At 49.1% G+C, this 15,771-nt stretch overlaps 1 long non-coding RNA gene and 1 pseudogene across 1 annotated transcript in view; one reads left to right on the forward strand and one right to left on the reverse strand.

Annotated features, from left to right (window-relative positions):
- Nucleotides 8,221–8,514, forward strand: RN7SL468P (RNA, 7SL, cytoplasmic 468, pseudogene; annotated as a pseudogene).
- Nucleotides 9,500–15,771, reverse strand: part of LOC107985941 (uncharacterized) — a 35,549-nt gene continuing 29,277 nt past the window's right edge. The window contains exon 3 of the long non-coding RNA XR_001739665.2: nt 9,500–14,128. This is a non-coding gene — a long non-coding RNA (uncharacterized LOC107985941). The remainder of the gene's footprint in view (nt 14,129–15,771) is intronic.

Here is a 15,771-nt window from a genome sequence, read left to right on the forward strand (position 1 = left end):
AGTCAAGAGGTGTCTTTCCCCTTGCTTCTCCTTCCTCCCACCCATCATGGCAGGGCCAGAAGGCATGGCCTGCTGGAGTGTTGAACATACCTATTTTTTTTTCTTTTTTTTTTTTTTTTTTTTGAGACAGAGTCTCACTCTGTCGCCCAGGCTGCAGTGCAATGGTACAATCTTGGGTTACTGCAACCTCTCCCTCCCAGGTTCAAGCAATTCTCCTGCCTCAGCTTCCTAAGTAGCTGGGATTACAGGTGCCCGCCACCATGCCCGGTTAATTTTTGTATTTTTAGTAGAGGTGGGGTTTTGGCATGTTGGCCAGGCTGGTCTCGAACTCCTGGCCTCAAGCAATCCACCTGCCTCAGCCTCCCAAATTGCTGAGATTACAGGCGTGAGCTACTGCACCCAGCTGACATACCTGTTTATCCACCTGGCTTCTGCTCCTCCTGAGCGATCCATATCATTGGTGACTATCTTCTCTTCAATACTAATTATGACCTATATTAACATATTGCCTTCCATTTAGACTGTGGTTTTTACATTTCGAGACCCACTCAAATCTGTTCTAAATTGCCTTTAGTAATCCAGCAGGCATTCCTTCTGCCAACATACACTGACAACCTACTATGTGCCAACCAGTGCTCTCTATCTTATCCTTTCATAGAGCCCTGTGCTCTGTGACACATAGTTTGATGCTTGGTTCCACACTGTCATGTCCGGTTCTTTAGTGGCCTCCACCAGCAGTGGGCCCCATGCTTCATCTACCTGCACCATGGCCTGTCTCCTGCATCTCATCTGGACTCCTCTCTAATTATCCTTTCAGTCTCAGCTAAGTGTCACTTCCTTGTCTGAAGTCTTCCGTGACCCTTCTCTAAGCTGAGTTGATAGTTCCTACCCATGTACGCTTTAGAGTACGTTGAATGTACCCTGCCATCCTATGTCTTACCATCATGCATTTCTTTATTAGTTAGCCTCCCCCACCTGGCTATGGGCTCCAGTAGGGCAGGAATCGTATCATTCATTCATCTTCATCTTTTGTGTATGTCATTCATTTGCTCAATATGTGTTTATTGACCCCTGTCATATGCCAGCCATCATGCCACGTGCTGAGTACACAGTGGTACACAACAGTCTTGGTTCCTTCTACTCTAGCTGTTCTACAAGACACCCTCAGCTCCCCCATTTCTTTCTACCCGTAGCACATGAGTTTGTACCTGAACAGCTGCAGCATGGGTGTTTATTGACATGCTGTCTCTAAATCAGACCTGTGTCCCAATTAGAGTGTAAGCTCTTTAGAGACATCATGTGGAATACATTGGCCAATCTTCTGCCTGCATCCCCAAAGGGAAGGACAGCAGGAGATGTGTCAGGGAGATAGACAGGAGGGAGATCACCCAAGGCCTTGGAGCCCATGTTGAAAGAGGTGAATTGTCTCCTGTGTGTAATTGAGAACTGCTGAAGGAGTTTAAGCAGGGAAGTGATGTGATCCATCTATGTTTTGCAAAGACCACGCTGGCTGCTGTGTGGTGAATGGATGTGGTGGTGGAGTGGGGGTGGGTTTTGGAAATGAAACCAGTTTGAAGGCTATTGCATGATCTAAGCAAAAGATAACGATGGCTTGGTCTGAGATAGTAGAAGAGAAGTAGGTGAATTCCAGGTATATTTTGAACTTGGGGCCCATGGGTCTTGCTGATGGATTTGAGATAGAAGTTAAGGAAGGAGAAGGAAAAGAAAAAAAAAATCAAGATTAACTTCTAAGATTTGGGTCGAACAACTGGGTGAGTGAGCATGAGAAGGTGGGGATATTTGGGGAAGAGCAATATGTTGTCACTGCTGGGAGGTGGAAGGAATTATGAACTCAGTTTGGGAAATGTTCATTTTGAGTGAAATATATGAATGAAGACATCCTGTGGGCAATGAACATAAGTCTAGTACTCAGCAGTGAGGTTTAAAAATAGAGCTATTGGCCAGGCACGGTGGTTCATGCCTGTAATCCCAGCACTTTGGGAGGCCAAGGCGAGTGGATCGCTTGAACCCAAGAGTTTGAGACCAGCCTGGGCAACATGGTGAAACCCCATTTCTATTTAAAAAATTATTTTAAAAAATTGATAATGGAGCTATACACAAGCAAGTTTTCATGGAGATTGAAGTGTGAGAGAGAGAGAGAGCACAAGCTCATTATAACAATCCCCCCATGCTCACCCCAGCCATTTAAAAGATGGATAGAGGAGAAAAGAAACAGAAGCAGTCAAAGTAGGAAAGAAAGCCAGGAAAATGGCCTCACAGAGGGGAGCAGCTCAGAAGGGAGGATTGTGATCTGTAATTTGGAAAGTCCACAAGAGATAGAGTAAGATGAGGATAAAAAGGTATCCATTGCGTATGGCAAGATGGAAGTCATTGTGGATGATGGCAGAGAGAACACTGTGAGGTCACAAAATCATTTCCTTTTCTTCTTGGGCAGGGCCCAGCTATATTTTCCAGCCTCTCCTTCAGACTGGTGAGGACATGTGACAGAACAATGGCCAATAGAATGTGAGCTGAGTGATTGATGTAAGCCATTTCAGGCCTGTACCCTAAAAGCTCTGTTGCAATATTCCAAGCTCTTCCTTTATCTGCTGGCAATAGCAATAATAGGTAATATTTACTGAGCACTAACTGTATCCCTATGCCAAGCATTTTAGATATATTAATTATTTTAATGCTCACAGCACTATGAGATATGCATCCCTGTTTTACAGATGGGGAAACTAAGATAAAGCTATATATTTATAAATGTCACTGTCATATGTAATCACTCCAATAATTGCTCCAGATTATGCTGGGATCCTGGACATGTGTCCCCCCAGATCTGGAGCTCCCAGATGCCAGGTCAGTCTGGCTGAAGGCTTCTTGCATATATTGCTGATCTCTCCCAGCCAGACGGTAAGCCTCCAAAGGGCAGGAACTGTCATGAGGACATGGCAAGTGTCAAATAAATATTTTTAAATTATTGATTATTTTATAGTGCCTGAAAATTTTACATATATGATCTCATGTCATAGTTTGCTCAAAAAGTGAAAAAATTTAAAAGATACTCTTTATGCTGGAAAATTAGGAAAGGAGGGCAAAGAAGGAAATTGATTGGCCATGCAGGTTCCTGTTAGCCTTTGCAAAAAACAGAGAAGTCTTCCTTCTTTCCTTCCTTTCTTCCTTCTCTATTTTCTCCCTTCCTTCCTTCCCTCTTTTCTCCTTTCCTTCCCTCCTTCCTTTCTTCTTCCCTCCCTCCCTCTCTCATTCCCTCCCTCCTTCTCTCCCTCTTTTTCTTCTTCTCTGCTTTCTTTCCTTATTTATTCATTTATCTGCTCATTCATCCTCCATATAGCATGTGCACCTACCATATGCAGAATTCTGTGCTGGGGTGGGTAGGGTGGGAGGCATGAATATGATGTTCTTGCTAAAGAGCTTGCAGCTTGGATGGAGGAACAAGACTAACAAACAGAAAGCACCTAAGCAGCCATCTGTATTTAGGTGGTATAGACAAGGAGTACAGGCAGGAAGAGGTTGCCAAATGCAAGTCACTGTGGCCACACAAGGCACTTGAAGTCTATCCCAGGATGAAGAGACAGAGCAGGACCTTCAAGGACAAGTGAGACTTGAACCTGTGAGAGGTCTGGGTGGATAGTGCAGTGGAGCTGCCCAACTGGTGTCTGGGGCACAGCAAAGAGGCTGGTCTGTACAGAGCCAAGGGTTTGTGCAGGGCTGGTGTGGACAGTATGTTACATGTGCCACTTTTCCCATCAAGCATTCTCCCAGGACCCTGCTTCTGCAAGTATTGATTACTCTGTCTTCCAGCTCCATTTTGTTTATGCACTATCTTTGGCCTTTTTGGAGACACTGTAGTAAGCCTGGCCCTGTACCTCTCTTTGCATACCCCACCTCCAGCCCCTTAGTCTTCCTCATGTGTCTAGTGAGTGATTGCTCTGAAAGAAAGAGAAGGAAAATCATATTTTCTACCTCTGCTGGGCACTCAGCTAGAGCTAGTGGCGCATAGGAGCCATAGGCTCTTCCAGTCCTTTCAGGCAGGAACTAGTGCCCTACAGTGTAGGGCAGAACGGGGGCGAGGTGGAGTGCACAGGCTCCTGCTGTTCTGAGAGGTTGGGCCACAGTGACCCACAGGCCTGTTTCCATTTTCAGCCCTAGCTCCTGAGATGCTCACAGCTAAAGGGGGTGGAGAAAGAATGCTCCAGTCTTAGCCCCTGAAGACATCAGACAGCCCTGCTCAGTGACCAGTGAGAAAGCACCCACCAGGCCCATTAACCCAGAAGCAGCAGCAACACGTTTGAGTCAAGAGGGTCAGCCAGCCCCAGAAAGCCCTCACTTGGCCCTCTCAGAGACTGCTACTGGGGCCCTAATTATCTCACCTCTAAGGGGCTGGCCCTGGCTGGATCTTCATGGAGCTGTGAGCTTGTTGCAGTGTCTGGGCTTGCTTTCTCCAGAGCCCAAGTCCCCTGCAAAAAAAAAAAAGAGAGAGAGAGAGAGAGAGAGACAGCTCTCAGAAACCCAAAATGAGGATGATTTAAGCAGGTCCTCCTGCACTGAGCTCGGCTTATTCCCACACTAGGCCAGCCAAAGAACCAATCATTCAAGCCACCCTTCCCCTGCCAGCTTTTTTCTGTCCTGTATCTGGGTGGTGCAGTTTAATTATTCATCCATGCAGGAACTATTTATCCAGTGCCTACTATGTGCAAGATACGAGATCCAGCAGAAAGCAGAAACACTCTATCCCTCACTAGCTGAGAAGCCTGTGGGGGTTACTTTACCAACTTCCTTCTCTGCCTTCATGATAATATCTGCCAACATGGACCTTTCCTCCCCAAACCACCTATGTCCCAGAGCTGGGGTGACACACGTGACAAGTGGCAATCCTCAGATGGCCCTTGCCACATCCTATCTCCCCTGAGCGGCTTTTCTCTCTATGAATCTGCAGGTTCTTTAGGCAAAGATTCTGTCATTTGGTCTCCTCATCACTACAGGGCGGGTCTGAGATGGCACTCAACATGCATTTGTGGGATGGAATAGAATAAGACAGGAGAGCCCAGCATAGGCTGTTTTTCCCTGGGTGGCACAGCAAGCCACCAACAGCCCCAGGGGTCACTAGAGGGGTGTGGCTATTTGTTTCTTCTTGGCAGTCATGTTAATAAAGCTATGGATTGCTGGGGGAAGCAAGCTTGTGATTCAGAGAAGTTCATTGAGACCATATGGACTTCCCCTAGAGGAGACTCAGCCCTTAGTCCATGCAGATGTAGAACTTAGCCACGGAGTAGAGCTCACCTTCCCAATGCACCAACATTAACTGGGAAGTTGCCATGTGCTGGGCACTGAAGACACAGGTACGGCAGGGGATTCAAGCAGTCCAGTGCCACAGTGTTGCTGAGCCTCAATTGTCTCTTCTGCACACCCCTGGAGGGCATGGATATACCATTGTCCTCACCTTGTCACCACCCTCTGTGACCTTGTATTCATTAGGTGGGATACGGGAGAAGTAAAAGACAGTGAGTCCAGCTAAGCCCCAGTGCAGTGCAAAAATATCCCATTGATCTATCAAAACTCAGTCCCACCAATGCCTGCCTGCTCCTTGAGCAGCTGAAGTCCAGGCCTTTCCCGGGGCGCACCTGCAGGCCTGCCGCTGTCCGTGGTGCTAATGGCTGTGGCTGCCGGACTTCCCTTGGCAGGAAGGAATCAGGTTTCAGAAATCCAGGAATTAGCTTATGTTCCAGGCTTTGATGTGCGGCCATAGCTCTGTGTGGAGATCTCAGACACTCCATATATGCCCTCCCCTCCCTGCTCATGCCTACACAAGAGACTTCCTCCCTGCCTGGGCCGGAGGCTGGGTGGCTGAGAGGAACAGTTCTTGCCTTTCGGACTCCCTATTTCCTGCCTCTCAGCTACTTGCTCTATATACCCACTCTGACACACACACACACACACACACACACACACACACACACACACACACTTCCCATGAAACACAGCTGTAATGAGGCAACCACCAGCCCTCTCCAACAGGCAGAAGAGAGAGAATTCAAGCACGAGGCTAAAAATGCAGCTTTGACAACATCAAAAGGGCTTCCTCCCAACTGATTGTATCCTGCATGTTCATGTTTTGTAAAGTATTTGGAAGGAACACATGATCCTGTAAGATTCATTTAGGGAGGGCCTGCAACTCTGTAGAAGGCAGCCAGGCAGTGGGTGGAATTTTGGGGTCACTGGGAACCAGAAAAATCCTCCAGCCCCCACCACTCTACCAAAGGGTCTGGGCTTCACTGGAGTCACTTTGGGGACAAGGCAGCAATTCTCAAAGAATTTTTCCATCAGTGAAAGAAAAAAAAAAGCATCCCTGGGTAAAATTGGTTTCAAAAACTGTGTCAAAAAACTTTTGTAAAGACCTTCTCTCTACAAAAAAAAAAAAAAATTAATTAGCAATGCATGGTAGTGTGTGCCTGTAGTCACAACTACACGGGAGGCTGAGGTGGGAGAATCACCTGAGCCTGGGAGACGAAGGCTGTTTTGAGCCAAGATTGGACCACCGCATTGCAGCTTGGGTGACAGAAGACCTTGTCTCAAAAAAAAAAATACATTTTTTTTGTTTGATGAACTTTTCAGAACCTTTACCACACCAACAGTCATTGTGTTATTTTTCCCTGATATATTTGGCCAGATTTTATTTACTAGTAGAGCTTGGGTTCTAGAATATTCTAGCTTGAGTTGCACACTTAGCTCTGGCACTGACTAGCTGTGTTGCCTTGATCAAGTGTCTTACACTCTCTGTGCACTGTTTCCTCGTCTGTGAAATGGGAATGAAGGTAGCACCTTTCTCATAGGGCTGTCATGGAAGTTAAATGAGTCGATGCATGGAGAGCTCTCAGAAGGGAGCCTGGCATGTAGAAAACCCTAGAAAACTGTTATGTTGTATTATTCACAGGGACACTAATATTTGTGATACTCATTCTCAGAAATTCTGGGTTGAGGCATTGTCTCCCAAAGGCCCCCACAGTAATGCTTTCTGGGACATGATTTGAGAAGAGGAAATCCTTTAGAAGCTTGCATTTCTCAAAATGGGGGCAAAGATTTAACATCACAGAAGGAAGTGTGTTTCCACTGTCCTCCCTCCTGCAAGCCCAGGCCCTATTGTGGTTCTACAGTCCCTTCCCCTCTCCAAACCTCAGTTTCCCCCTCTGCCAGATGGGTGTAACCACTCAAGCCTTCCTTAACTTGGAGAGTTGGGGTTGGGGGAGATACGGAATGAGAATCTCCCTGTTCCACATTTAATTCCAAAGAAGAAGAGGAAGAGGAAGGGGAGGAAGAAGAAGAAGAAGAAGGAGGAGGAGGAGGAGGAGGAGGAGAAGGAGAGAAACATCTCCCTGGACAGGCTCTGGAGGCAGAGAAGGAAGGGAGACCCTGTCTTTCTCCTGGGCGGTGGACCGAAGAGGTCTTAGTCGGCTCCAGCCCCCCAGCCACTCAGCCAATCCCCAAGTCCTGAGTGGAGGCGCCTCCACTGCTCTCTCCTCCCACTCCTTACAATGAAAGTTAACACGGAGTCATAGTTCTAGGCTGTGGGTTCGGGGGCACTCTCAGGAAAGGAGGATTCCCCCAGGGGCCAGAGTAGTTCACTCACCAGGAGGGTGGGACCAGTAGGGGCAGTTTAGGCAAAGCAGCACTTCAAGTGGCATTAGTCATTGCAGCTTCCTCTGCCCACCTGCCCACACACCAAGCTCTCAGCTCCATGCTGCCTTAACCCAGGCCTCACACACCTTTCTCATCTTCTGAAACCTCAAACAATTGCATTCAGCCCATGTGCCATGCAACAGAGCCATTCTCTGAGAGTTGAGTGCAGCTATCTCCCTGAAGCCCTCTTAAAACGCAAATATCCCAGGGAAGAGCAACTTATCCAGCGACTAACACCTCAGTCTGAACCGATACAGGCTTTCTAAATGATAGAAGATGCTCTGTGCAGCCTGGGAGCTGAGAGCCAGGGATTTGTAAAAGCCGACCAGAGGAAGGCAGTGCACGAAGTGGAAAGAGACTGGATCTTGGCACCAGAGCTCGGTTCAGATTCTGGCCTCTTATTGTTGGGTGATGCCCTCTCTGAGCCTGAGCTTCCTCACCTGTCTAATTGGTGTGATAGTAACAACTCCCAGGTGCTGATGAGGAGTACACAAGATCATGTATTCAAAGTGCCTGGCACAAGCCGGGCGCAGTGGCGTGCACCTCAGCTACTCAGAAAGCTGCGGTGACATCATTTGCACCCAGGAGTTCTGGGCTGTAGTGCACCCGGAGTGCCCATTGGGGGCCCATACAATGTTCAGCATCAATACAGTAACCTCCTGGAAGCAGGGGATCGCCAGGTTGCCTCAGGGAGGGGTGAACCAGCCAAGGTTGAAAATAGAACAGGTCAAAACTCCCTTGCAGATCAGTCATGGGATCGTGCCTGTGAATAGCCACTGCACTCCAGCCTGGGCAACTTAGCGCGACCTCGTCTCTAAAAATGTATTTATTTTTTAAAGTGCCTGTCACACAATGAGCACTGAAACATTTTGTTTCCTCATCCCTTTCTTCTCACAGTGGGAGAAGCAACATGAAGATGAGGAGGGGGTGAGGCTGAGGCCCAAATCAGGCTGTCACGCTGGGAGATTTATTTTCATCATGGCTGGCCTGGTTGTTTTGGGGGGGAAGGAGGAAGATGTGGGGGTGCCTCTCCAGCTGCTGCACTTGAAGGCCCCCACAGCCCCTACTCCCACCTCCAGTACTGATGGCAGGCACTGGGGGGGTGGGCGGGGAGGTGGGCGAGCAAAGCCCTGAGGCAGCCTGGCTGTCACCCTTGCCCCTTCTCACTCTGCACCAGAGACCTCTGCCTCATCCTCAGGCTGCCAGTCGGCAAAGCCACTCTACATGCAGGAGGGTGAGCCAGCTGGCTGAGCTCAGCCCCGGGTTGACACAAACACGGGAAGATTCTGCAGGAAACACAAGGCAGCCACGGCCTCTGTCCCTGAGAGGAGCAGTGAGGGAGCCGCAGGGCTGGGCTGCGGCGTGACACTAGGGACGTGGGGGGAATGCAAGTGGGTCCAGACCTGGGGGCCACCAGTGCAGGAGCAAGGGCAGGCCGGCCATCAGAGCTGGGCGGGGAGGGGGGCGCTGAGCTTGGCGTGGGAGTTTCCCCAACGGACTGTGTCTTCCAGGGACCCTCGCCCCTCATGCCCCTCTGCGTCCTGAAGGGAGGAGGCACCACCCCTCTGTGGCATCTGCTTTTTAGGGCTGACGATGGAACAAGCTCATGGACAGGAGTGAAGCCCCTGGCACATAGCAGGTGCCACAGAAGGGTGGTGAAGTCTGCCCTAGATCAGAGATCATTCAGGGGGTCTGTTAACTTGGATGAAGAAGAAATACACTCTTATCACTAACATCAGGAAGGTAAGCAAGGAACCACACATAGAATTGACAATAAGTGTGACTTTGCCACCAAGAAGAATCACAAAGTTTTATTTTATTTTATTTTATTTTATTTTACTTTAAGTTCTGGGATACATGTGCAGAATGTGCAGGTTTGTTACATAGGTATACTTGTGCCATGGTGGTTTGCTGCACCCATCAACCCGTTATCTAGGTTTTAAGCCCCGCACGCATTAGGTATTTGTCCTAATGCTCTCCTTCCCCTCGCTCCCCACCCCCAAACAGGCCCCGGTGTGTGATGTTCCCCTCCCTGTGTCCATGTGTTCTCATTGTTCAACTCCCACTTATGAGTGAGAACATGTGGTGTTTAGTTTTCTGTTCCTGAGAATCATAGAGTTTTCATAGCCCAGTACAATAATCACAGATACATGACATAGAGTTGTGTGACATGTAGACCCCAATAGTCCGGTTAATGGGATGCTTTAGTTAAAAAGTACATAGATTACTGTATTATAAGTTTATGTTTTAGGATATTTTGATGATTACTTTTTAGAAATAGTTTCCTTTGTAACCTTTATTTTACTTAATGCATATGAAAGAATCATTCAGAGGAGGGGTCCATGGCTTCACCAAGATGAAACAGGTCATTGGCATGAAAAAGGTTAAAACGCTGTGCCCTGGAACCAGGAGTTTATGATCCAGGCCTGCAGCATGCTGTATGACCTTGGCCACATAACTTCATTGTGCCTCAGTTGCCTCAACTATAAAATGGGGATAATAAACCTGTGACATATGATGCTTGGGGGGTTAAATGTGACAAAAGTCTTAGCACTCTGTGTGCCATACAGTGAGGGCCCCAGCATGGGCATTGATGCACCGTCTTGATTCCTCCTGCCTTTCCCAGGTACAGGGAGCTTCCCCAGCCTGCCTGCATCTGAGAAGATTCCACCAGAGAAACAGAACCAATAGGAGACATATATTAAGAGTTGTGTTGCGGCCAGGCCTGGTGGCCCATGCCTGTAATCCCTTTGGGATTACACTTTGGGATTACAGCACTTTGGGAGGCCAAAGCGGGCCTATCACCTGAGTTCAGGAGTTCGAGACCAGCCTGACCAACGTGGAGAAACCCCGTCCCTACTAAAAATACAAAATTAGCCAGGCGTGGTGGCAGGCATCTGTAATCCCAGCTACTCGGGAGGCTGAGGCAGGAGAATCACTTGAACTTGGGAGGCGGAGGTTGCAGTGAGCTGAGATGGTGCCATTGCACTCCAGTCTGGGCAACAAGAGCAAAACTCCATCTCAAAAAAAAAAAAGAGAGAGATGTGTTGCAAGAAATCGGCTTACGTGACCGTGGGGGCTGGATCCATAGCGCAGGCTCTCAGGAGGGGCAGTCCAGAACTCTCAGGCTGATGCTGCAGGCCACAGGTGGGATTTCTTCTCAAGAAAGCCTCAGCTCTGCTCCTAAGGCCTTTCAACTGATTGACTCATGCCCACTCAGATTATTGAGGGCTATCTCCTTTATTTAAGGTTAACCGGCCCAGTGCAGTGGCTCACGCCTATAATCCCAGTATTTTGGCAGGAAGATTGCTTGAGGCCAGGAGTTTGAGACAGGACTGGACAACAGAGCAAGAGCCTCATCTCTACAAAACATAAAAAAATTAGCCCGGTGTGGTGGCACACTCCTATACTCCTAGCTACTCTGGAGGCCAAGCCGGGAGGATCACTTGAGCCCAAAAGTTCAAGGCTATACTCCTAGCTACTCTGGAGGCCAAGCGGGGAGGATCACTTGAGCCCAAAAGTTCAAGGCTGCAGTCAGCTATGATCAAGCCACTTATACTCCAGCCCAGAAAACAGAGTGAGACCCTGTCTCTAAAACAACAACAACAAAAAACCCCAACCAATTGTAGATATCAACTACATTGCTGTGGCTTGAATGTCTCCTCCAAAACTCAATCTGAAACTTAATCCCTAATTTAATAGTATTGGCAGGTGACAGGGCCTTTCAGAGGTAGTTGGGTCATGTGGGCATTCATGGATTAATGGGTTAATAGATTAATGGGTTATCATGGGAGTAGATTAGCTATCACAAGAGTGAGTCTGTTACAAAAATCCAGCTTGGCTCTCTCTTGTGAGCCCCTCCCCATACGATGCCCTGCACTGACCATTAGCAAGAAAGCCTTCATCAGATGGACCCCCTCAACCTTGGACATCTCAATCTTCAGAACTCTAAGAAATAAATTTCTTTTCTTTATAAATTGCCCAGTCTCTGGTATTCAGTTATAGCAACAGAAAATGGACTAAGATACACATCTACGAGATACCTCCACAGCAACTCCTAGATTAGTGTTGATGGAATAACTGGGGATTGTAGCCTAGCCAAGTCGACACCTAAGACCGGCCCTCATGTCACCCAAGGACAAGACAGCGAGGTCCTGAAGAGTTTCATGAAGAGGAGGGGAAGGAGAGAGTGGGGAGCTCAATGTGGACCCCTCAATTAATTTCCCAAGTGCTCAATGAGGCCTGCCCCACCTCTCATCCAGCTCCTTGGCCAGGCCCTGCCCCCACTCACCTCTCTTATGTGGGACACGTGAGCCCCTCCAGTGTGCCAGGAGCACATGGGTACAGGCACACATAGAGAATGCCGTGTCCACAGGAAACCCAGTGAGCCTGAAGGGCCTTGGCGTGCCATTTACAGGTCACTCACTTGGGCCAGGCCTCACTAGGGATGCCAGGGTGAACAAGACGTGGCCAGTGCTCTTGAAGGGCTCCCACCTGGTGGAGGTAGCAGACAAGTAAGGGGACAAAGGCCCCTCAGAAGTACACATCTGGTGGGCCGGGCGCGGTGGCTCACATCTGTAATCCCAGCACTTTGGGAGGCCGAAGCAGGCATCACTTGAGGTCAGGAGTTCGTGACCAGCCTGGCCAACAGGTGAAACCCAGTCTCTACTAAAAATACAAAAATTAGCCAGACGTGGTGGCGCGTGGCTGTAATCCCAGCTACTCGGGAAGCTGAGGCAGGAGAATCACTTGAACCCGGGAGGCGGAATTTGCAGTGAGCCGAGATCACGCCATTGCACTCCAGCCTGGACACAGAGCGAGACTCCATCTCAAAAAACTAAAAAAATAAATAATAAAAAGTACAAATTAGGTGTGGTTATCGCCTGGAGAGCCAGGAGCATCCTTGGGAGGGGACTTGGGGAGGGGTCCGCTGGGCTGCTCTAGCCCACTCTGGGCCAGAATCGTGATTCTAATTGCAGGTAGGCTTTACCCTATCAAAGCCCCCTGGGCTGGGGACTCTGTGAAGAAGCAAGATGTGCTTGAAACCTCCCTCTCTGCTGAAAAATCTAGACAAGCTCCTGACCGGCTGCATTGCTGCTTCAGCCCCTCCTCAGGGAAGCGGGAGGCCCTGGGTCTCTACGGGTGCTCTGTGAAAGACTGCAGAGGCTGGTGGGGCTGCATTCCTGTCTGTCTGCCTAGGACAGTGCCTACTGACTTCTGACTGCTGCCCCATGGTCCAGGGCTCCAGGTACACCACTGCAATGTCACTTTGTGCTTGGGGTTCCAACTAGACAAAAGCCCCACGTTGCACAGCCCTTGAGCCGTCCCGGGTAGCATGCCCCCTGGTGGCCGTGGGCAGTTATTACCGTTAATCCTTTCTTGCCCAGATGCCTCTAGCGTAGGCCACAGCAGCCGGCCGGGTTCGTTGTGTCTGGAAAGACCAGAGAAGGGTTCCCGGAGAAAGAGGCCGTCTGATCGGAGTTTTATGAACCAGAGGATAAAGAAAGGAAGGGATTTCTGGGCCTCAGAAAACCACATGCCAACGCATGGGGGTATTAAGGATAGGGGCTCTTGAACGCCCAGGCTGGTAAAATCTAGAACGGCAGAGGGAGGAGGGGTAATTTTTCTGGTTGGTAGAAATAAAGTGGGGATGAGGAAGAGCACGAAAGTCTGTCGGCAAACCTGAAAGTGGGAGCGAGCTTTTGTCAAATCCAGGGTCAACCTGAGCTCTCATTAATTGGGAAACTGGAGAGTCAGATCCTCTAAAGAAAGTGGAAATATTTGTTCTAAAGAACCCCTGCCAGGTCCCCGTTTACGTGACTCATAAAGAGGCCTTCAGGCAGAAAGGATCCCAGTGCACCAGTAACAGAAGGGCTCCAGGACCAGAGGGAATGGACAGGGAACCACCACCCACACCAAGCACAGGCCCATTGTCGGCATGAGGAGCCTCGCCCCTGCAGATCACCTCCCAGAGGGGAGCGGATCAGAGATTAAATTCCACACCTTTCTACAAAATCATAGCAGTTTGAAAGTGCCAAGGGGAGTAGGTGAGGAGGTTTCGAGGCATGTATGCAGCCGTTTGGAGACACCAGCCATGTCGCCTGAGTTTTCTGATGTAATCCTCATAACAACCATTCCAGATTTAAGTGATTAGTCCTGTTTTACAGATGGGGAAACTGAAGCTCAGAGAGGTTAAGCAACTTCCCCAAGGTCATACAGTAGCCAAGTAGCATAAGTGGTATTCGAACCCAGTTCTATTTGGAGCCTTCACAGGCTTTTTGCTGCATTCCACAAGAGTCTGTATATTCAGAAGCAAGTCTTCCACAGCCATCATAAGTCATCCTCACAGCCGGCTGGCAGGGAGGGAACATTGCCACTGTAGCTGGGATCATAGATATCGTGGTCTCCATTTGACGGATAAGACTGAGGTCTGGAAGAGAGTCAGTCAGTCTGTGTGATAAGCCTGAACCACCCTCTCCTTCAGTTCCTCCCCTAACCCAACATCCTCCGGGTCTGGAAGGACAGTGTCTTGAGCAACTTCTTGCAGCTATACTTCTCCAGCTAATAGTCTAGAAAACCGAGCCTGGTCCCGAGTCTCCTCCTCGGGGTACGAGCCGAGGGCACTGATGGGGGTCAGGAGGTGCTGGCTAAAAGACGGTGGTGCAGGTGCCCCTGGCTTTAAGCGCGCCCAGGTTATAAAAAGCTTGGTTCCCATGCTGGCCCTAATTCTCCATGCACTGAGTACCTTAGGTCCCTTCTCTGGGTCTGTTGCTCCCCTGTAAAACAAGGGGGTGGGAGAAATGACCTTCAAGCTCAAACACCATATGTCCACCTGGGTTGGTATAGCAGATTGCATTAGTTTGTTAGGACTGTTTTAACAAATGCCACAGACTGAGTGGCTTAAACAACAGACATTTATTCTCTCACAGCTCTGGAGGCTGGAAGTCTGAGATCAAGGCAGTGGCTGGCAGGGTTGTTTCTCCTGAGGCCTCTCTCCTTGTAGCCACCCCTCTTCTCCCTGTGTCTTCACATGGTTGTCCCTGTGTGTGTGTGTCTGTGTCCTAATCACCTCTTCTTATAAGGACACCAGTCACAGAGGATTACCGGCCACCCATAGGACTTCATTTTACCTTAATTATCTCTTTAAAGTCTCCATCTCCAAATTAGTCACATTCTGAGGTACTGGGAGTGAGGACTTAAACATACGAATTTGGAGGATAGGACACAATTCAGCCTATAACACAGATAGAAGACACTGCTCATTTTAAAAAAGAAGTAGCAGGCTGGGCGCAGTGGCCCATACCTGTAATCGCAGCACTTTGGGAGGCCGAGGCGGGAGGATCACCTGAGGTCAGGAGTTCGAGACCAGCCTGGCCAACATGGTGAAACCCCGCGTCTACTAAAAATACAAAAATTAGCCGAGCATGGTGGCATGCTCCTGTAATCCCAGCTACTCGGGAGGCTGAGGCAGGAGAATCACTTGAACCTGGGAGGTGGAGGTTGCAGTGAGCTGAGATCGCACTGCTGCACTCCAGCCTGGGTGACAGAGCAAGACTCCGTCTCAAAAAAAAAAAAAAAAAAAGAAGTAGCAGTCCCAGCCCTTTAACAGCGAACTTCTGATACATTTAAAACAGAATCTGATTCTCACTTTTTCTTCCAGGCCCACTTCAATGCCACTAATGAGGCCTATCTGTCTGCAATCTGATATTAGAGGCCAAAAATAATCTTTCTATTTGCCACTTACTGGGCACCAATGTCCTACCTGACACATGCTGGCTCAGGTGGGGGAGGAGGTACGGTCCCTGGCCCTAGGAACGCTCCATCTTAGAAAGAGACAGAATGTGCTGGGGTCAGAGTAAAAAGTGCATGGGCTTCAGCAGCAGATCCCAGCATGGCTACCACCAGCTGGGGGACCTTGGGCAAGAGCCCCCTGTGAGCCTCAGTTTTCTCACCTGGTCAATGGGACTCACACTACTGCGGCACACATTGTGCGCCCACATTGTCTCGGTGCACAGGGGCCACCCTTCAAACTGCCAGGGTCTGCACCTCTGTGCCCAAGGTGCAGAAAGGGCT

This window comes from Homo sapiens, chromosome 2, assembly GCF_000001405.40.
Source record: "Homo sapiens chromosome 2, GRCh38.p14 Primary Assembly".
Taxonomy (NCBI): domain Eukaryota; kingdom Metazoa; phylum Chordata; class Mammalia; order Primates; family Hominidae; genus Homo; species Homo sapiens.